This window comes from Homo sapiens, chromosome 5 (genome assembly GCF_000001405.40).
Source record: "Homo sapiens chromosome 5, GRCh38.p14 Primary Assembly".
Classification (NCBI taxonomy): Eukaryota; Metazoa; Chordata; class Mammalia; order Primates; family Hominidae; genus Homo; species Homo sapiens.
The window spans coordinates 143926702-143947132 of NC_000005.10; positions in this window are offsets into that span (position 1 = coordinate 143926702).

Below are 20431 nucleotides of genomic sequence, written 5' to 3' on the forward strand. Positions count from 1 at the left end.
TTGTCTGACTTTTGAATTTAGGAGCTCTGATTTTGATTTCTTATTTTGCCAGCTCTTAGATTGCATACATGGTATGCCATAGAAGTGCTTGGCATGCATTTTTATTATCATTAATATAGAGCCCACATAAACAGCACTAATACCTTAAAATCACATTTGAAGCAGATATGTATTGGATGTATTTGGTTACAAGACAATATAATAGAACAAAACCAGGATTTTTTTTTTTTGGGTAGAGATTTATTGAATTAAGCAACCACTAGGCAATACACACAGACTGGGAAAAGTATAAGGTTTTATATTAGTTTCCTTTGCTTGCATATCAATCACTTGTTTATTTTATTTTAATTAATTTTTTTTTTGAGGTGGAGTCTTGCTCTGTCACCAGGCTGGAGTGCAGTGGCGTGATCTCGGCTCACTGCAACCTCTGCCTCCCGGGTTCAAACGATTCTCCTGCCTCAGCCTCCCGAGTAGCTGGGACTACAGGTGAGCACCACTACGCCCAGCTTATTTTTGTATTTTTAGTAGAGATGGGGTTTCACCATGTTGTCCAGGATGGTCTCAATCTCTTGACCTCGTGATCCGCCCACTTCAGCCTCCCAAAGTGCTGGGATTACAGGTGTGAGCCACCTCGTCTGGCCCCACTTGTTTTTTATCAGTGTTTGGCACCACACTGACATTGACTGTTTCTCTTTTATTTGTGCTTAGAAAATCTTTACTTGGTACAGAGGCACAGCAATTGTTTCATCTAATAACCCCTGAGGGATTGTATTAATGTTATAGAATTAATAGTTACTATACATAGTCTTGCAAAACTTGTTTATATAAAGCTAAAATGTCAAGCCCAGAGAAAGAAAAAGAGGGTGAAAGGATGAAATAGCAAAAAAAGATGTTATAAAATAGGCTTCCCCTCTTTAAACTTAGCATTTAAAATATTTTCCATAAAATATTTTCCATTACTTCTGGTTGTGATGATGAAATACATGATAGCATCTCAGCTGTTAACAGCTGAGTGGCTGATCCATAAAAATATACTTCTGTGGTTTGATATTGATTGTACTTTTCCTTCTCCTTTAGACTTATGAATGGGTCTGCAAGTTCATAAAAAGAGAAAGAAACAATGGCATAGCATTTACAGTTGTTACTCAAAAGACAAATGTTACACTTAGAAGCTTAAGAAAGGAAGAAGAAATACCATGATTGTTTGCTTCCTTACTTTTTCCATTTTGTGGATGTGAGAATGATGGTAGACCAAAAAAACCCAAGAGTTCATGCACAACAGAATTTTAGAGATTCAGGGGCCATTGGAGAGCATCCAACTGAAGGCCTTCATTTTATAGTTGGAAAAATTGAGGCATTAAAATAACTTGTCCAGGCAGGCTGGGCATGGTGGGTCATGCCCATAACCCCAGCATTTTGGGAGGCTGAAGCAGGTGGATCACCTGAGGTCAGGAGTTTGAGACCAGCCTGGTCAACATGGCAAAACCCTGTTTCTACTAAAAATACAAAAGTTAGTCAGGTGTGGTGGTATGTGCCTGTAGTCCCAGCTACTTGGGAGGCTGAGGCAGGAGAATTGCTTGAACCTGGGAGGTGGAGGCTGCAGTCAGCCGAGGTCACACCACTGCAGAGGCTGCAGTGAGCCAAGATAGAGCTACTGCACTCCAGTCTTGGCAAGACAGTGTGAGACTCTGTCTCAAAAAAAAAAAAAACAAACAAAAAAAAACGAACAAACAAACAAACAAAAATCTTGTCCAGGGCACACTTTCCTCTTCATTACTTTGGCTATTCTTGTTTTCTCCATGGAAGGCAGAAATCACATCTCTTTTCATGATGAAATATCTTAGCTTGGTTGGCTTCAATTAGCTGATCTTTGGAACAACACACTCAAACCCACCACATCAATGTGTCATTACTTTTTTCTCCAAAATAGCATTAATGGTGGAGGAAACTAAGCATGACACCTGGGAGATGTTTTCAATTTTTTCTTGAAAATTCATGTGAATTTTGTAATTTTACTCTGATATTTGGTGTTTGTAATCATGATACTGTTCTTATTTTAATTTAAAAACACCAAATCTGTGAGTAAAATTGGTACTCCAGGAAGATGTATTATGTCTATCCTGTTCTTATATTTAACAAATATTTAATGAGAACTTTTTTTTTCTGCTGAGAACATAGCAGAGGTCACTGCTCCTCTTGGCATTGACAGTATAACCACACAACACATATAACACATAATTACAAATAATTATACAGAGAAGTGAAAGGTGTTACGGTGTGTCCAGAAGGGAGAACTAAACCGGCTCAAAGGATTAGGAAAAGTGATGTTTAAACAAAAAATTGAGTAGGAGGTATGTTTGACTACTGCCTGGCTTACATTTATTAAAGAAAGAGAACCGGCTGGGCGTGGTGGCTCATGCCTGTAATCCCAGCAGTTCGTGAGGCCAAGGTGGGCGGATCACGAGGTCAGGAGTTCAAGACCAGTCTGGCAAACATAGTGAAACCCATCTCCTCTAAAAATACAAAAAATTAGCCGGGCGTGGTAGCGCGTGCCTGTAATCCCAGCTACTCGGGAGGCTGAGGCAGGAGAATCCGGTGAACCCGGGAGGCGGAGCTTGCAGTGAGCCGAGATGGTGCCACTGCACTCCAGCCTGGGCGACAGAGTGAGACTCCGTCCCCAAAAAAAATAAAATAAAAAAAGAACCATAAAATAATTTTCCACCTTGGTCTTTGCCAAAAGATGAGTTATGATGCTTTTGCAATGCATTGGACTTTTCCTTTTATTTTTTGTGCATATAATTTGAAAACAAATCAAAAACATATTGTTTTAGTTATTTGTTGTTCTATATTTTTGGTATTTTTTCCTCCTCATTAGCATATTGGTTGCTTATGTGTGAGCTTCTCAATCCTGGTATTTGCAAATGTTGAGGGTAATACTGTATTCTAAGAAAGGCACAGAAATAACCTGGAAGAAAGAATGTCAGGAATGCCCTTGAAAAAAAGAACTTAATTTCCTAAGCAACAAACAAACTCTTGAAATAGTGACCTCTGGTTCTAATTCCTTAAGGCTCTTTAAAATCTATACTTTGCCCACCTTTTTCCTTCTCTGCAAAATAGGAATGGCACAATGGAGTTGACTAACAATTAATTTTCTTAGTTACAAATTTTGCTGGGATCTTTAGCCCTGTTCTATTTAGTTAAAGAAACCAAGTTGTTGACTAATGGTGAAGATTGTTTGCTAAAGGCCCTAGATATTATCTTAAGAAAATGAGTTAAGAATAATGAATAAACATAGATGACAATTAGTGGATTCTGTGTTAGGTCCTCACATGGAACCAGATGGTCTAGTGATGCATGTAAATAGATAATTTATTTCATTTGTAGATCTGAAAGTTAAATAAAGAATTAGATGTTTGTTATTAAAGTGCATTTGCCAATGTGCTCTAATTTAATACATTGCTAAAATAAATGCAGGGTGAAGTTAAGGGGACTAATTATTTTTGGTCAGCTGGGGATAAAGTGAAAAGATTCTTCAGGATTTGCAGCTTGCAATCTAACTATTACAAACTGAATGTTTGTGTTCTCCTCAAATTCGCATGTTGAGGCTCTAACCCCCATTGTAATGGCATTTGGAGGTAGGGCCTTTGGGAGGTAATTAGATTTTGATGAAGTCAAGTGCATAGGACCCCCATACTAGGATTAGTGTCCTTATAAGAAGAGGAAGAGCTGGGTGCAGTGGCTCATGCCTGTAATCCCAGCACTTTGGGAGGCTGAGGTGGGAGGATCGCTTGAGGTTAGGAGTTCAAAACCAGCTTGGTCAACGTAGTGGGACCCCATCTCTTAAAAAAAAAACTAAAAATTAGCTGAGTGTTGTGGTATGTATCTGTAGTCCCAACTACTTGGAAGACTAAGGAAAGAGGATCACTTGAGCACAGGAATTTGAGGCTACCTTGATTGCACCACATGAAAGGGGACTTTCTTTTCTACCCTAGGTACTAGCACTCCAACTTGGGTGACAAAGCAAGACTCCATCACAAAAAATAAATAAATAAATAAATAAATAAATAAATAAATAAAGGAGAAGAGGAGGAAGAGACCAGAGCTCTCTGTATTTCTACCTGTTCTGCCATGTAGGAACACAGCAACAAGGTGGTTGTCTCTAAGCCAGGAAGAGGGCCTTCATCAGGAACTGAATCTCCTGGCACATTGATCTTGGACTTCCCAACTTCCAGAATTGTGAGAAGCAATGTCCATTGTTTAAGCCACCCAGTATGTGGTATTTTGTTAGAGCAGTCTAAGTTGACTAAGATAGTGCCTATTTATTTTTTCTTTTCTTTAGAAAGTGAAAATAATAGCTATAAGTGTTCAATATATTGGTCCACAGAATAATTAGCTTTCTGAAAATTTGTGCATATGCAATTAGGAAAAATAGCATGACATTGTTTTTGACAGGATTACTCCATGCTTTATTAAAAGTTATGAATCAATTTACCATTGAAAATGACAGCAGGGAGCAGAACAAGATGGCAGAATATAAGTGTACACTTTCCACCTTCCCAGCTAGAAGATCAAATTTTAACAACTATCTGCACACAGAAAAATATCATCACAAGAACAAAAAATCAGGTGAGCAATTACGGTATGTGTTTTTAACTTCTTATAGTGGAAAGAGACATTGATAGGCGGCAGGGGAGACAGTCTTGAATCATTGATGCCACCCCTCCCCCATTCCCCAGCAGTGGTGTTGCAGCACAGTGAGAGAATCTGTGCACTTTGGAAAGGGAGAGCACAGAGACTGGAGGACTTTACATTGATCTCAGTGCTGCCTTGTGACAGCGGAGAATAAAGCTGTGCTGGTCTGAGCCAGCACTCGTGCACAGAGGGAGCACTTGGATCAGCTCTAGCCAGAGGAATCACCTATCCCAGCAGTCAGAATTTGAGTTTCTTGGCAAGCCTTACCATCATAAGCTGAAGTGTTCTGGGGTCCTAAATAAATTCAAAAGGTAGCCTAGGACATGAAGACTGCAGTTCCTACGCAACTCCTAGCGCTAGGCTGGGCTTAGAGCCAGTGAATTAGGGCAGCACATGACCTAAGGAGACAGCAGCTGGCACAGCTAAGGAGCACTTGTGCCATCCCTTCTTCAATCCCAGGCAGTGCAGTTAATAGTCACAAAAAGTGACTCCTTCCTTTTGCTTCAGGAGAGGAGAGCAAAGAGTAAAGAGTACTGTGTCTTGCCTCTTGGATACCAGCTCAGCCACAGTATGATAAATCATTGAGCAGAGTAATGAGGCCCTCATTCCAGGCCCTGTCTCCCAGATTTCAGACACACTCTTTGAGAAAAGGGAACCTGCTGCCTTGAAGAGAAGGATCCAGTCCTGGCAGAATTAACTACCTGCTGACTTAAGAGCAGGTCCTTGGTCTCTGAATAACTACCAGCAACACCCAGGAAGTACATGTGGGCCTTGGGCTCTGAGATATGCTGGCTTCAGGGGAGAGCCAGCACATTCTCAGCTGTGGTGGCTATGGTGAAATACTCCTCCTGTTCGAGAAAAGGAGAGGGAAAAGTAAAGGGGACTTTCTTTTGCACCCTAGGTACTAGTTCAGTCACAGTGGAGTAAAGCAACAAGCAGGTTCTTAGGGTCCCCAAGTCCAAGCTTAGGCTCTTAGATTGCATTTGTGGAACTACCCTGGGCTAGAGGGGAGCCCACTACTCTGAAGAGTGAGTTCTAGGCCTGGCAACATTTACCACAAGCTGACAGAAGAGCCCTTGGGCTTTAAGTGAACACTGGTGATGGCCAGGTAGAAGCACCTGTGGACCAGTGATTATGACCGCAACAGGGAGAGGTTCCTCTGCCTGTGTAAAGGGAAAGGAAAGTAGGAAGGATTTTGTATTGTGGTTTGAGTACCAGCTTAGTTGCCGTAGAATAGAACATCAGGTAAATTGCTAAGGTTTTTGACTGCAGTTTCTGGTTCCCAGACAGAATCTCTGGACACACTTGGGGCCTGGAGAAACTTGCTACACTAAAGGGAAAGGCACTGGGAAAAGCCCAGGGCTGTGCTAGATTCAGGTCTGAGTCAATGCCATTCCAGTGGTGGTGGCCACAGAGATGCTTGCATCACCATACCCCAAGTTCCAGGTGGCTCAGCATAGACAGACTCTGTGTGTTTGGGAGAAAGTAAGGAAAAAGAGCAAGAGTGCCTGGTGATAAAGAGAATTCATCTGGAAATTATTCAAGACCACCAAAACAATACCTCCAGAAGTCTGCAAAACCCACAGTATTATTGGGCATAGGGCTTAAGTCCTTTCAAATACCTAGAAAGCCTTCCCAAGAAGAACAGACTGTGAAGTTTACAATAAACACCTAACTCTTCAATGCCCAGACATCAAAGAACATATATAAGTATCAACATCATCCAGGAAAACATGACCTCACCAAATGAACTATGTAAGGGACCAGAGACCAGGCCTGGAGAAATGAAGATATGTGACCTTTCAAATAGAGAATTCAAAATGGTTGTTTTAAGGAAATTCAAAGAAATTCAAGATGATACACAGAAGGAATTTAGAATACTATCAGATAAATTTAACAAAGAGATTGAAATAATTAAAAAGAATCAAGCAGAAATTCTAGGGGTGAAAAATGCAGTTGACATGCTGAAGAATACATCAGAGTCTCTTAATAGCAGAATTGATCAAGCAGAATAAATAATTAGTGAGCTTGAAGATAGGCTATTTGAAAATATACATCCAGAAGAGATAAAAGAAAAAAAGAATAAAAAACAATGAGGCAGCAGCCAGGCACAATGGCTCACACCTGTAATCTCAGCACTTTGGGAGGCTGAGGCAAGTGGATCACTTGAGGTTAGGTATTTAAGACCAGCCTTAGCAACGTGGTGAAACCCTGTCTCTCCTGAAAATACAAAATTTAGCTGGGCGTGGTGGAATGTGCCTGTAGTCTCAGTGACTCAGAAGGCTGAGGCAAGAGAATTGCTTTAACCTGGGAGGTGGAGGTCGCAGTAAGCCAAGATTATGCCACTGCACTCCAGCCTGGGCAACAGAGCAAGGCTCTATCTCATAAAAACAACAAACAAACAACAACAACAACAAACAATGAAGCATCCCTATAGGATCTAAAAAATAGCATCAAAGGGGCAAATCTAAGAGTTACTGGCCTTAGAGAGGAAGTAGAGAGAGAGAGGGTTAGAAAGTTTGTTGAAAGGGATCAGAGCACTTCCCAACAGATAGATTGGGAAGATCTCAATACAGTAATAGCTGGAAACTTCAACACCTCACTTTTTCCCTAATCTAGAGAAACATATCAACATTCAAGTACAAGAAGGTTATAGAACACCAAGCAGCTTTAACCCAAGGAAGACTACTCAAGGCATGTAATAATCGAACACCCAAAGGTCAAGGGTAAAGAATGGATCTTAAAAGCAGCAAGAGAAAAGAAACAAATAATATACAATGGAGCTCCAAAACATCTGGCATCAGACTTTTTAGTGGAAACTTTACAGGCTGAGAGGGATTAATATGACATATCTAAAGTGTGGAAAGAAAGAAAACTTTTACTCTAGAATAGTATATCTGGTGAAAATACTCTTTAAGCATAAAGGAGAAATAAAGACATTCACAGACAAAAGCTGAGGAATTTTGTCAATACTAGACCTGTCCTACAAGAAATGATAAAGGAAGTTCTTAAATCTGGAAGAAAAGGATATTAATGAAAAAGAAGAAATTATCTGAAGATATTAATACAAAACTCACTGGCAATAGTAAGCACACAGAAAACATGGAATAGTGTAACAATGTAGTTGTGGTGTGAAAACTTCTCAAGTAGAAAGACTAAATGATGAACCAATAAAAAATAACTACAACGTTTCAAGACAGAAAGTACAATAAGATATAAATAGCAACAATAAAAAGTTTAAAAGTAGGGATACAAAGTTACAGTGTAGCGTTTTTACTAGTTTTCTTTTTGTTTGTTTGTTTGCTTGCTTATGCAATCATTGTTAAGTCATCATCAGTTTAAAATGATGGGTTGTAAGATAGTATTTGCAAGCCTCATGGTAACCTCAAATAGAAAAACATACAATGGGTACACAAAAAGTAAAAAGAAAGAAATTAAAGCATATCCACCAGAGAAAATCACTTTCACTAAATGGATGACAGGAAGGAAGGAAAGCAGAAAAAGACCACAAAAACCACCAAAAAACAAATAACAAAATGGTAGAAGTAAGTCCCTACTTATAAATAGAAACATTGAATGTAAATGGACTAAACTCTAATTAAAAAAAAAAAAAACAGAATGGCTGAATGGATAAAAAAACAAGACTTGGTGATCTGTTGCCTACAAGAAACACACTTCACCTATAAAGAAACATAGACTGAAAATAAAGGTGTTGAGAATGGTGGCTCACACCCATTATCCCAACACTCTGGGAGGCCGAGGTAGGTGGATTACCTGAGGTCAGGAGTTCGAGACCAGCCTGACCAACATGGTGAAACCCATCTCTACTAAAAATATAAAATTAGCTGGGCATGGTGGCACACTTCTGTAATCCCAGCTACTTGGAAGGCTGAGGCAGGAGAATTGCTCAAACCTGGGAGGCAGAGGTTGCTGTGAGCTGAGATTGCACCATTGCACTCCATCCTGAGCAACAGAGTGAGACTCTGTCTCAAAAGAAGAAAAAAAATGTAAAGAAAATAAAAGAAAGGAATGGAAAAAACTATTCCATGTCAATGGAAACCAAAAAATACGTTTTAAAACAAAAGCTGTAAGAAGAGGCAAAGAAGGTTATTTATTATGTAACGATAAAGAGGTCAATTCATCAACAGGATATAATTATTGTAAATATATATGCACCCAACACTAGAGCACCCAGATGTTTAAAGCAAATGTTATTACAGCTAAAGAAAGAGATAGGTCTCAATATAGTAATAGCTGGAAACTTCAACACCCCACTTTCAGCAACTGACAGATCACCCAGACAAAAAATCAACAAAGAAACATTGGACTTAATCTGTACTATAGACTAAATGGACCTAATAGATATTTACAGAACATTTCATCAAAGGCTACAGAACATACATTCTTCTCTTCAGCATATGGGTCATTCTCAAGGATAGACCATATTTTAGGTCATAAAACAAGACAAGTCTTAAAACATTGAAATGATATCAAGCATTTTTTCTGAACACAGTGGAAGAAAACTAGAAATCAATAACAAGAGGAATTTTGGAAATATATAAACACATGGAAATTAAACAATATGCTTCTGAATGACCAGTGGGTCAATGAAGAAATTAAGAAGAAAACTAAAAAATTTATTGGAGTGAATGATAATGGAAACACAACATATCAAAACCTGTAAGATGCAGAGAAAGCAGTACTAAGAGGGAAATGTATAGCGATTAAGTGCCTAAAACAAAAACAAAGGAAAAACCTCAAATAAATAATCTAACTCATCTTAAAGGATTAGAAAAGCAAGAGCAAGCCAAACCCAAATTTAGTGGAAGAAAAGAAATGATAAATATCAGTGCATAAATCAATGAATTTGAAGTTAAGAAAACAATACAAAAGATCAATAAAACAAAAAGCTGTTTTTTTTGGAAAGATAAACAAAATTGACAAATCTTTAGCCAGACTAACAAAGCAAAGACAACAACCAACAAAGTGCAGAGACAACCCACAGAATGGGACAAAATATTTGCAAACTACCCATCTGACAAGGGATTAAGAACCAGAATATAAAAGAAGCTTATATATATATATATATATATATATATATATGGGAAAAATGTAATAATCTGATTAAAAAATGGGCAGAAGATCTGAATGGATATTTCTCAAAAGAAGACATATGAATGAGGGCATATGAAAATATGCTCAACATCATTAATCATCAGAGAATTGCAAACCAAAACTGCAATGAAATATCATCTCACTCCAGTTAAAATGGACTTTATTCAAAAGATAGGCAATAATAAATGCTGGTGAGGATGTGGAGAAAAGGGAATCCTCATGCACTGTTGGTAATGTGTATTATTAATGGTACAACCACTATGGAGAACAGTCTGGAGATTCCTCAAAACACTAAAATAGAGCTACCATACAATCCAGCAATGCTACTGTTGGGTATATACCTCAAAGAAAGGAAATCAGTATACCATGCACTTCCATGTTTGCTGCAGCCCGGTTCACAATAGCCAAGATTTGAAAGTAACCTAAGTGTCCATCAACAGATGGATGGATAAAGAACATGTGGTACATATACACAATAGAGTACTATTCAGCCATAAAAAGAATGAGATTCTGTCATTTGCACAGCATGGATGGAACTGGAGTTCATTATGTTAAGCTAAATTAGCCAGATACAGAAAGACAAACATCACGTGTTGTCACTTATTTGTGGGATCTAAAAATTAAGACAATTGAAGTCATGGACATAGAGAGTAGAAGGATGGTTACCAGAGGCTGTGATGGGTAGTGTGAAGGTGAAAAGGGGTGGCTGTGGGGGAGTGGGGTGAAATGGGGATGGTTAATGAGTAAAACAAAAAAAAAAAAAATAGAAAGAATGAATAAGACCTAGTATTTGATAGAACAACAGGGGGGAAATAATTTTAAAATGTTCAATAAAAATTGTACATTTTAAAGTAACTAAAAGAATATAATTGGATTGTTTGTAACCCAAAGGATAAATGCTTGAGGGATAAATAGCTAATTTTCCATGATGTGATTATTATGCATTGCAGGCCTGTACCAAAATATCTCATGTACCCCATAAATGTATACACCTGCTATGTATCCACAAATTTTTTTAAAAAAGAAAGTGGCAGGTTTCTGCCCCCACAGAATAATGAACAGTGCTTCCTAATTTGCATACCAACATATTTCAACTCGTTGCACACTTTGTAAATATCTATTGTATTGGTAGAAAGTTATCAAAAGTAGAAAGAATCTCAAACCGTGTTCTTCAATATTTAATCATACAATTCCATGCCAATGTATTTATTATAAATTTTTATTTGATACATAAAACAGAGAAGAGTTAGAATTCCTTATAAATGATTTTTGAAAAAAATATTTCCCTGAAAACTCTAAGGATGGGGGCAAATCCCTTGTATCATAGATAAAAGGAAGGTTTGCATATACACTTTTTAATATAACAAAAATGAAAATTACGATACCTAAGGGATTTCAGGTAATCGCCTTAGCTCTAAATGAATTATTCAGAATGTTTTGATGATAACAATACTAGTAAAGGAATGACATAAAAAGGGGTGGAGAAATTGTAGATTTACCATTTTGTCCCTATGCAAAACAATGCTCCTGATAATACTACATCTAGATACAGCTTCTTCTAAAGGATGTGAAAAGTCATTGTTTATATCTGAGTAATAAAATTAACTGCCTACAAGATTGCCAAAAATTTGAAAGATATTGTTTGCTAAGGTTTTTGTGAATCTATCAGAGTTCTTAGTTGCAGACAAAAGCATCTATTTTAGTTAATTTAAGCAGAAATGAGGCTTGTTAAAAATTATTTGATGATCAGAAAATTAGGATAGTTGGAGAAACAGGCTGTAAGCTAAGTATTCCAGAATACCTCTCACAGCAATGCTTCAGACCTGCCCTGGTGAGGGACTGCTGCCATCTGGGAACATACTGCCTCTGCCACCCCCAGTGCCAGCAGAAACCATGACTTGTGTCTAGCCACTCCCTCATGGAATTCTTTTTTGATTATTTTCAGTGAATGATTCTAACTGGTGCTTTCCTAGCTGGAGAGGTATGTGGGAAATGTAGTTTTTTGAATTCTACTTTGAAAAAGAGGGATTCTAATGTGTAAAATTATTAAAACATAGAAAAGGTGTTCAAAATGTTTGAGGAGCCTCAAAAACTAATGTCCTTCTCAGTAAAGATATTGGGACAGGAGTTCTCTCATAGAATACTGATAGAAGTATCAACTGGAGAGTAATTTTTGAAAGGCAATTTGGTGGTGCCAGTGATAATTTCAGAGGCATAATCACTATGATTAGCTTTTTTCACTTCTACAAATCTACCCTGGAAAAATAATTATATATCTACCAAAAAATATGTAAAGATGCTTGCTTAGGCATTGTTTGTAACACTAAAAATAGTCAACATTAACTTCTTACTATATGCTCTAAGTGTTTTGCATGTTCTACCTACTTACAACATACTCAAACCGGTGAGGTAAGTAAAATTTACCATTACTGTTTTACTGTAGGAAAACAAAGGTCCAGGGGAGTTAAGTAACTAACCTATGGTCACACATCTAGTAAAAAGGAAGATGATCCTAATTGCCCATCAATATGAAAATGTTCAGTACATAGTGTTTTATCCAGACTGGAGAAGCACACCATAGTTTAGAAGAATAAAGTAAAATTATTTACGCTGACATGAATAGATATCCAAGACATTATTTCATGAAAAAGAAAGTATGACCTGAGCTATATAAAAAATAAATTTGTGTGTATGCATATATATATGGACAAGAATATAAAGGAAGAAGGAAGGATGTTCTCCAAACCTCTAACAATCTGTTACCTTTGTGATGGATATGAAGGTGTATTAGTCTGTTCTCATGCTGCTAATAAAGACATACCCAAGACTGCGTAATTATAAAGAAAAAAGAAGTTTAATGGACTCACAGTTCCACATGGCTGGGGAGGCCTCATAATCATGGCAGAAAGCAAAGGAGGAGCAAAGGCACTTCTTACATGGCAGCAGGCAAGAGAGAATGAATGCCAAACAAAATGAGAAACTCCTTATAAAACCATCAGATCTCACGAGCACTCACTCACTCTCACGAGAACAGTATGGGGTAAACTGTCCCCATGATTCAATTATCTCCATCTGACATATGGGGATTATTACAATTCAAGGTGAGATTTGGGTGGGGACACAGAGCCAAACCATATCAGAAGGTAAATATTAATGTTTTGTTCTCTGTTTCTGAATCCAACTTTTTATGAGGAAATGCATTTTCCTATTTCATGTATAACAAACATTTAGGAATCAAATGTTGAAGTTTGAATTCCTGTAAAAAAAAAATTCTTAGTTTGAAGCTTCCAAACTTAAAAATGTCCTTGAAGTCAACTTGAGGAAAAAAATCCAGAAGTTTGGAGATTTAAGCATTCCTGTGTTAAAGTTACTCATCATTCACACCTATGCTGGGTGTGAAAAGTTTCATTTTCATTTTATTTTAGTGTAGTTTTATAATCATATCACATGGCTTGGGAACTTCTCTAATGTTTATGAAGAGAAATACCCAGGTCCTAATATCTTTGCCCCTAAAGGAAGTACCTGCAGTAGAATGTCACTTCTGTTCACAACCACCTCAACTAGTTCCTTTGTGAGTTAACCTTGATAAAAGAGTTCTCCAACACTTCTGCTTTTGGGTTGCATGAAAAAAAGGAGTCATACTGCTGTGTAACATGACCAGGAGTGGTGACCTTGAGAGGGTTGCTGACACACATAGTGTCACCCTGTCCACAGGGACCAGAGTCTTGGTGAAGTAGGACCAAATTCTCACTAATCTCCTTTTATCACCACCTGTGTTCATCACCAAGCCAATGGAGCACATAGGAATTACCTAGGGAGCTTCCTGGGAACCATTCAACAGAGACTGATTCAGTAGGTCAAGGGTCGAAGGTGGAGCCCAGGATTCTGCATTATTAATAGGCTTCTACACTGTTGTAGGTGGAATAATGTCTTCTTCCATCCTCCCCTCCAAAAAAAAAAAGATGGCCACATCCACATCCTAATCCCTGGAATTTGTGAATATATTACTTTACACAGCAAAAGGAACCTCATATATGTGATTAAATTAAGGCTTTTCAAATGCAGAGATTTTACTGGCTTATCTGGATAGGCCTGATGTAATCACAGGGTCATTAATGTGGAAGAGAGAAGCTAATGAATCAGTGTCCGAGTGATGTGATGTGAGAAGACTTGGCTGGTCATTGCCTTCTTTGAAGATGGAAGGGGAGACAAGCCAAGGTATGTGAGGTATGTGAGCAGCCACTAGGTGCTGGAAAGGACAAGAAAATGAGTCTCTCTTAGAGCCTCCAGAAAGGAATACAGGCCTGCCCATATTTTGACTTTAGCCCAATGAGATCCATTTAGGATTTTTGAGCTCTAGAACTGTACAATTATAGTTTTGTGCTGTTTTAAGATGCTAAATGTATGGTAATTCGTTACAACAGCAACAGGAAACTAATATGCATGAATTTCAAATTTTTTTTTATTTTCTAACTTCTGTTTTAGGTTTGGAAGTAAGTGTGCACATTTGTGACATGGGTAAATTGCATATCACTGGGGTTTGGTGTACAAATGATTTCATCACCCAGATAGTGAGCATAGTACCAAAGGTGTTTTCTTCAACCCTCACCCTTCTCTCACCATACACCCTCAAGTAGGGCCCAGTGTCTATTATTTCGATCTTTGTGTTCATATGTACTCAATGTTTAACTCCCCCTTATAAGCAAGAACATATGCAATTTGGTTTTCTCTTCCTGCATTAATTTGCTTAGTCTAATACCCTCCAGCTGCATCCTTGTGGCTGCAAAGGACATTATTTTCATTCGTTTTATGGCTGTGTAGTATTCCTTCGTGTATATGTACCACATTTTCTTTATCCAGTCCACCACTAATGGGCATCTAGATTGATTCCATGTCTTTATTACTGTAAATAGTGCTGTGATAAATATATGTGTGCATGTGACTTCTTGGTAGAACAATTTATATTCCTTTTAATATATACCCAGTAATGGAATGTTGGGTTGAATGGGAATCCTGTTTTAAGATTTTTGAGAAATTTCCAAAGTGCTTTATATGGTGGCTGAATTAATTTACCTTGCCACAACCAGTATAATAAACATTCCCTTTTCTCTGCAACCTCACCAACATATGTTATTTTTTTTTAACATTTCGAGCAAATTTTTATTGCTATGACTATATGAAATCTACTTCTATCCTGAGTGAGGGTGAGCACCTAATTCTCCAGGTGGAGTAAGCTGTGAAAGATGTGACTTTAAAAAAAATTTTTTTTTAAATTTTTACTTCCATGGATTATTGCAGAACAAGTGGTATTTGGTTATATGAGTAAGTTCTTTAGTGGTGATTTATGAGATTTTGGTGCACCCATCACCTGAGCAGTAAACACTACACCAAATTTGTAGTCTTTTTATCCCTGACTCCCTTCCCACCCTTTTCCCCTTGAGTCCCCAAAGTCCATCGTGTCATTCTTATGCCTTTGCATCTTCATAGCTTAGCTCCCACTTATGAGTGAGAACATATGATGTTTGATTTTCCATTCCTGAGTTACTTCACTTAGAATAATAGTCTCCACTCATGGACACAGGAAGGGGAACATCACACACCGGGGACTGTTGTGGGGTGGGGGGAGGGGGGAGGGATACCATTAGGAGATATAACTAATGCTAAATGACGAGTTAATGGGTGCAGCACACCAACATGGCCCATGCATACATATGTAACAAACCTGCACGTTGTGCACATGTACCCTAAAACTTAAAGTATAATAATAACAAAATTAAAAAAAAAAGAATAATAGTCTCCACTCTCATCCAGGTGGCTACAAATGCTATTAATTCATTCCTTTTTATGGCTGAATAGTATTCCATCGCATATATATATACCACCTTTTTTTATCCACTCGTTGATTGATGGGCATTTGTGTTGGTTCCACATTTTTGCAGTTGCAAGTTGTGCTGCTATAAACATGGGTGTGCATGTGCATGTATCTTTTTCATATAATGACATCTTTTCCTCTGGGTAGATACCCAGTAGCAGGATTGCTGGATCAAATGATAGTTCAACCTTTAGTTCTTTAAGGAATCTCCATACTGTTTTCCATAGTGGTTGTACCAGTTTATATTCCCATCAGCAGTGTAGAAGTGTTCCCTGTTCACTGCATCCATACCAACATCTAATATTTTTTGATTCTTTGATTATGGCCATTCTTGCAGGAGTAAGGTGGTATTGCATTGTGGTTTTGATTTGCATGTCCCCAATCATTAGTGATGTTGAGGTTTTTTCATATGTTTTTTAGCCATTTGTATATCTTCTTTTGAGAATTGTCAATTCATGCCTTAGCCCACTTTTGGATGGGATTTTTTTTTCTTGTTGATTTGCTTTTATTGCATTTGCTTTTGGGTTCTTGGTCATGAAATCCTTGCCTAAGCCAATGCCTAGAAGGGTTTTTCTGATGTTATCTTTAAGAATTTTTATAGTTTCAGGTCTTAGATTTAAGTCCTTAATCCATCTTGAGTTGATTTTTGTATAAGGTGAGAGGTGAGGAGCCAGTTTCATTCTCTTACATGTGGCTTGCCAATTATCCCAGAACCATTTGTTGAATAGGGTGTCCTTTCCCCACTTTAGGTTCTTGTTTGCTTTGTCAAAGATCATTTGGCTGTAAGTATTTAGGTTTATTTCTGGTTCTTTGTTATGTTCTATTGGTCTATGTGCCTATTTTTATACCAATACCATTCTGTTTTAGTGACTATGGCCTTATAGTATAGTTTAAAATCAGGTAATGTGATGCCTCCAGATTTATTCCCTTTGCTTAGTCTTGCTTTGGCTATGTGGGCTCTTTTTTGGTTCCATATGAATTTTAAGATTGTTTTTTCTAGTTCTGTGAAGAATGATGGTGGTATTTTCATGGGAATTGCATTGAATTTGTAGATTGCTTTTGGTGGTATGGTGATTTTCACAATATTGATTCTACCCATCCATGGGCATGGGATGTGTTTCCATTTGTTTATGTCATCTATGATTTCTTTCAGTAGTGTTTTGTAGTTTTCCTTGTAGAGGTCTTTCACCTCCTTGTTTATGTATATTCTTAAGTATTTTAGTTTCTTGCAGCTATTGTAAAAGGGGTTGAGTTCTTGGCTTGATTCTCAGCTTGGTAGTTGTTGGTGTATAGGAGAGCCACTGATTTGTGTACATTAATTTTGTATCCAGAAACTTTGCTGAATTCTTTTATCAGTTCTAGGAGTTTTTTGGAGGAGACTTTAGGGTTCTCTAGGTATACAATCATATCATTTGCAAACAGTGACAGTTTGACTTCCTCTTTACCAATTTGGATGCCCTTTATTTCTTTCTCTTGTCTGATTACTCTGGCTAGGACTTCCAGTACTATGTTGAACAGAAGTGGTGAGAGTGGGCGTTCTTGTCTTTTCCAGTTCTCAGTGGAAATGCTTTCAACTTTTCGCTATTCAGTATTAGGTTGGCTGTGGGTTTGTTACAGATGGCTTTTATTACATGGAGCCATATCCCTTGTATGCCAATTTTGCTGAGAGTTTTAATCATAAGAGGATGTTGGATTCTGTCAAATGCTTTTTCTGTGTCTATTGAGATGATCATGTGATTTTTGTTTCTAATTCTGTTTATATGGTATATCACATTTATTGAATTGCGTATGTTAAACCATCTCTGCATCCTTGTTATGAAACCCACTTGATCATGGTGGATTATCTTTCTGATACAACATACGTTGTTTTCTGACTTTTTAGTAATAGCCATTTTGACATGTGTAAGATGGTATCTCATTGTGATTTTGATTTGCATTTCTCTAATGATTAGTGATGTTGAGCATTTTTTCATATGCTTGTTGACCATGTGTATGTCTTCCTTTCAGAAGTGTCTGTTCATGTCATTTACACGTTTTTTATTAGGGGGAAGTGGGAATGGTTAATGGGTACAAAAAATTGAAAGGAATGAATAAGACATACTTTTTGATAACAAAACAGCATTGTTTGTTTTTTGCTTGTTGATTTAAGTTCCTTATAGATTCTGGATATTAGACCTTTGTTGGATACATAGTTGGCAGATATTTTCTCCCATTCTGTAGGTTGGCTGTTTACTCTGTTGACAGTTTCTTTTTAGTTTACTGGGTTCCAGTTGTCAATTTTTATCTTTGTTGCAATTGCTTTTGGAGATGTTATCATAAAATCTTTGCCAAGGTCTATGTCCAGAATGATATGTCCTAGGTTTTCTTGTGGGTATTTATAGTTTTATATCTTACATTTAAGTCTTTGATTCATCTTCAATTGGGTCTTATATATGGTGAAATGAAGGGGTCCAGTTTCAATCTTCTGCATAAGGCTAGCCAGTTATCCCAGCATCATTTATTCAACAGGAGGTCCTTTCCACATTACTTGTATTGTAGACTTTGTCAAAGATTAGATGGTTGTATGCGTGCAGCTTTCCTTTTGGGTTCTCTTACCTGTTCCATTGGTCTACATGTCCGTTTTTCTACCAGTACCTTGCTGTTTTGGTTCCTGTAGCCTTGGAGTATAGTTTGAAATGGGGAAGTGCGATGCTTCTGGCTTTGCTCTTTTTGCTTAGGATTACTTTGGTTATTTAGACTCTTTTTTGGTTCCATATAAATTTTAGAATAGTTTTTTCTAATTCTGTGAAAAATGGTGTTTGTAGTTTGATAGGAATAACATTGAATCTGTAAATTGCTTTGGGCAGTATGAACATTTAAACAATGTTGATTCTTCCTATCCATAAGCATGGAATATTTTTTTCATTTGTTTGTGTTATCTCTGATTGCTTTCAGCAAGGTTTCATAATTCTAACTGTAGAGGTCTTTCACCTTCCTGATTACCTGTATTCCTAGGCATTATATTCTTTTTGTGGCTATTGTGAATGAGATTGTGTTCTTGATTTGGCTCATAGCTTGGACATTATTGGTATACAGAAATGCTGATTTTTGTATATTGATTTTGTATTTTGAGACTTTACTGAAGTTGCTTATCAGTTCTAGGAGCCTTTGGACAGAGACTATCGGGTTTTGTAGGTATAGAGTCATATTGTCTGTGAAGAAAGATAGTTTGATTTCCTCTCTCCCTATTTAGATGTCTTTTATTTCTTTCTCTTGCCTGATTACTCTGGCTAGGACTTCCAATACTAAGTTGAATAGGAGTGGTGACAGTGGGCATCCTTGTCTTTTTCTGATTCTCAAGGGGGATACTTCCAACTTTTGCCTGTTCAGTATGATGTTTGCTGTGGGTTTGTCATAGATGGCTCTTATTATTTTAAATAAGTTCCTTTGAAGGGTTTTATAGCATGAATGAATATTTAATTTTATCAAAAGCCTTTTGTGTGTCTATTGAGAAGATCATGAAGTTTTTGTTTTTAATTCTACTTATGTGATGATAAATCACATTTATTGATTTGTGTATGTTTAATCAATCTTGCATTCCCAGAATTAATAATACTTGATCATGGCAGATTGATTTTTTGATGTGCTATTGGATTCAAGTTGCTAGTATTTTGTTGATGGTTTTTGCGTCTATGTTCATCAGTGATATTGGCCTAAAGTTTTCTTTTTTCATTATGTGTCTACCAGATTTGGTATCAAAATGATGCTGGTGCCAAAGAATGAGTTAGAGAGGAGTTTTTCCTCCTCATTTTAAAAAGTAATTACAGTAGGATTGGTATCAGTTCTTATTTATATGTCTGGTAGAATTTGGCTGTTCATCTATCTGGTCTATGGCTTTTTCTGATTCACTGGTGGAACTCATTATTGATCATTCAGGTATTCATTTTCTTTTTGTTCAATCTTTGGAGGTTGTATGTTTCCAGGAATTTACTTATTTCTTCTAGGTTTTCTAGTTTACGTGCATAAAGGTGTTCATAATAGTCTCTGAGGGTTTTTTGTATTTCTCTGGGGTCAGTGGTAATGTCAACTTTGTCATTTCTGATTGTGTTTATTTGGATCTTCTTTTTTTTTCTTTATTAATCTAGCTAGTGATCTATAGGTCTCTTTTATTCTTTCAAGAAACCAATTTTGGTTTTCTTAATCTTTTGCATGGATTTTTGCATTTCAATTTCATTCAGTTTAGCTCTGATTTTGCTTATTTCTTTTCTTTTGCTAGCTCCAGCGTTGTTTTGCTCTTCTTTTTCTAGCTCCTCTAGCTGTGATATTAGGTTGTTAATTTGAGACATTTCTAACTTCTTGATGTAGGTGTTTAGTGCTATAAACTATTCTTTTAGCCATGCTTTAGCAGAGTCCTAGAGATTCTGGTATGTTGTATTTTTGTTTTTACTAGTTTCAAAGAATTTTTTGATTTCTGCCTTAATTTTATTTTTTTACTCAAAAGTCATTCAGGAGAAGGTTGTTTAATTTCCATGTAATTATATGGGTTTGAGAGAACTTTTTGGTGTTGATATCTATGTTTATTGTGCTGTGGTCTGAGACTATGCTTGGTATGATTTTGTTTTTTTGGAATTTCTTGAGAATTGCTTTATGGCCAAGCATGTGGTCAATCTTAGAGTATGTGTCATGTGCAGATGAGAAGAATGCATATTCTATTGTTGTTGGGTGGAGTATGCTGTAGATGTCTCCTAGGTCTATTTGATCAAGTGTCAAGTT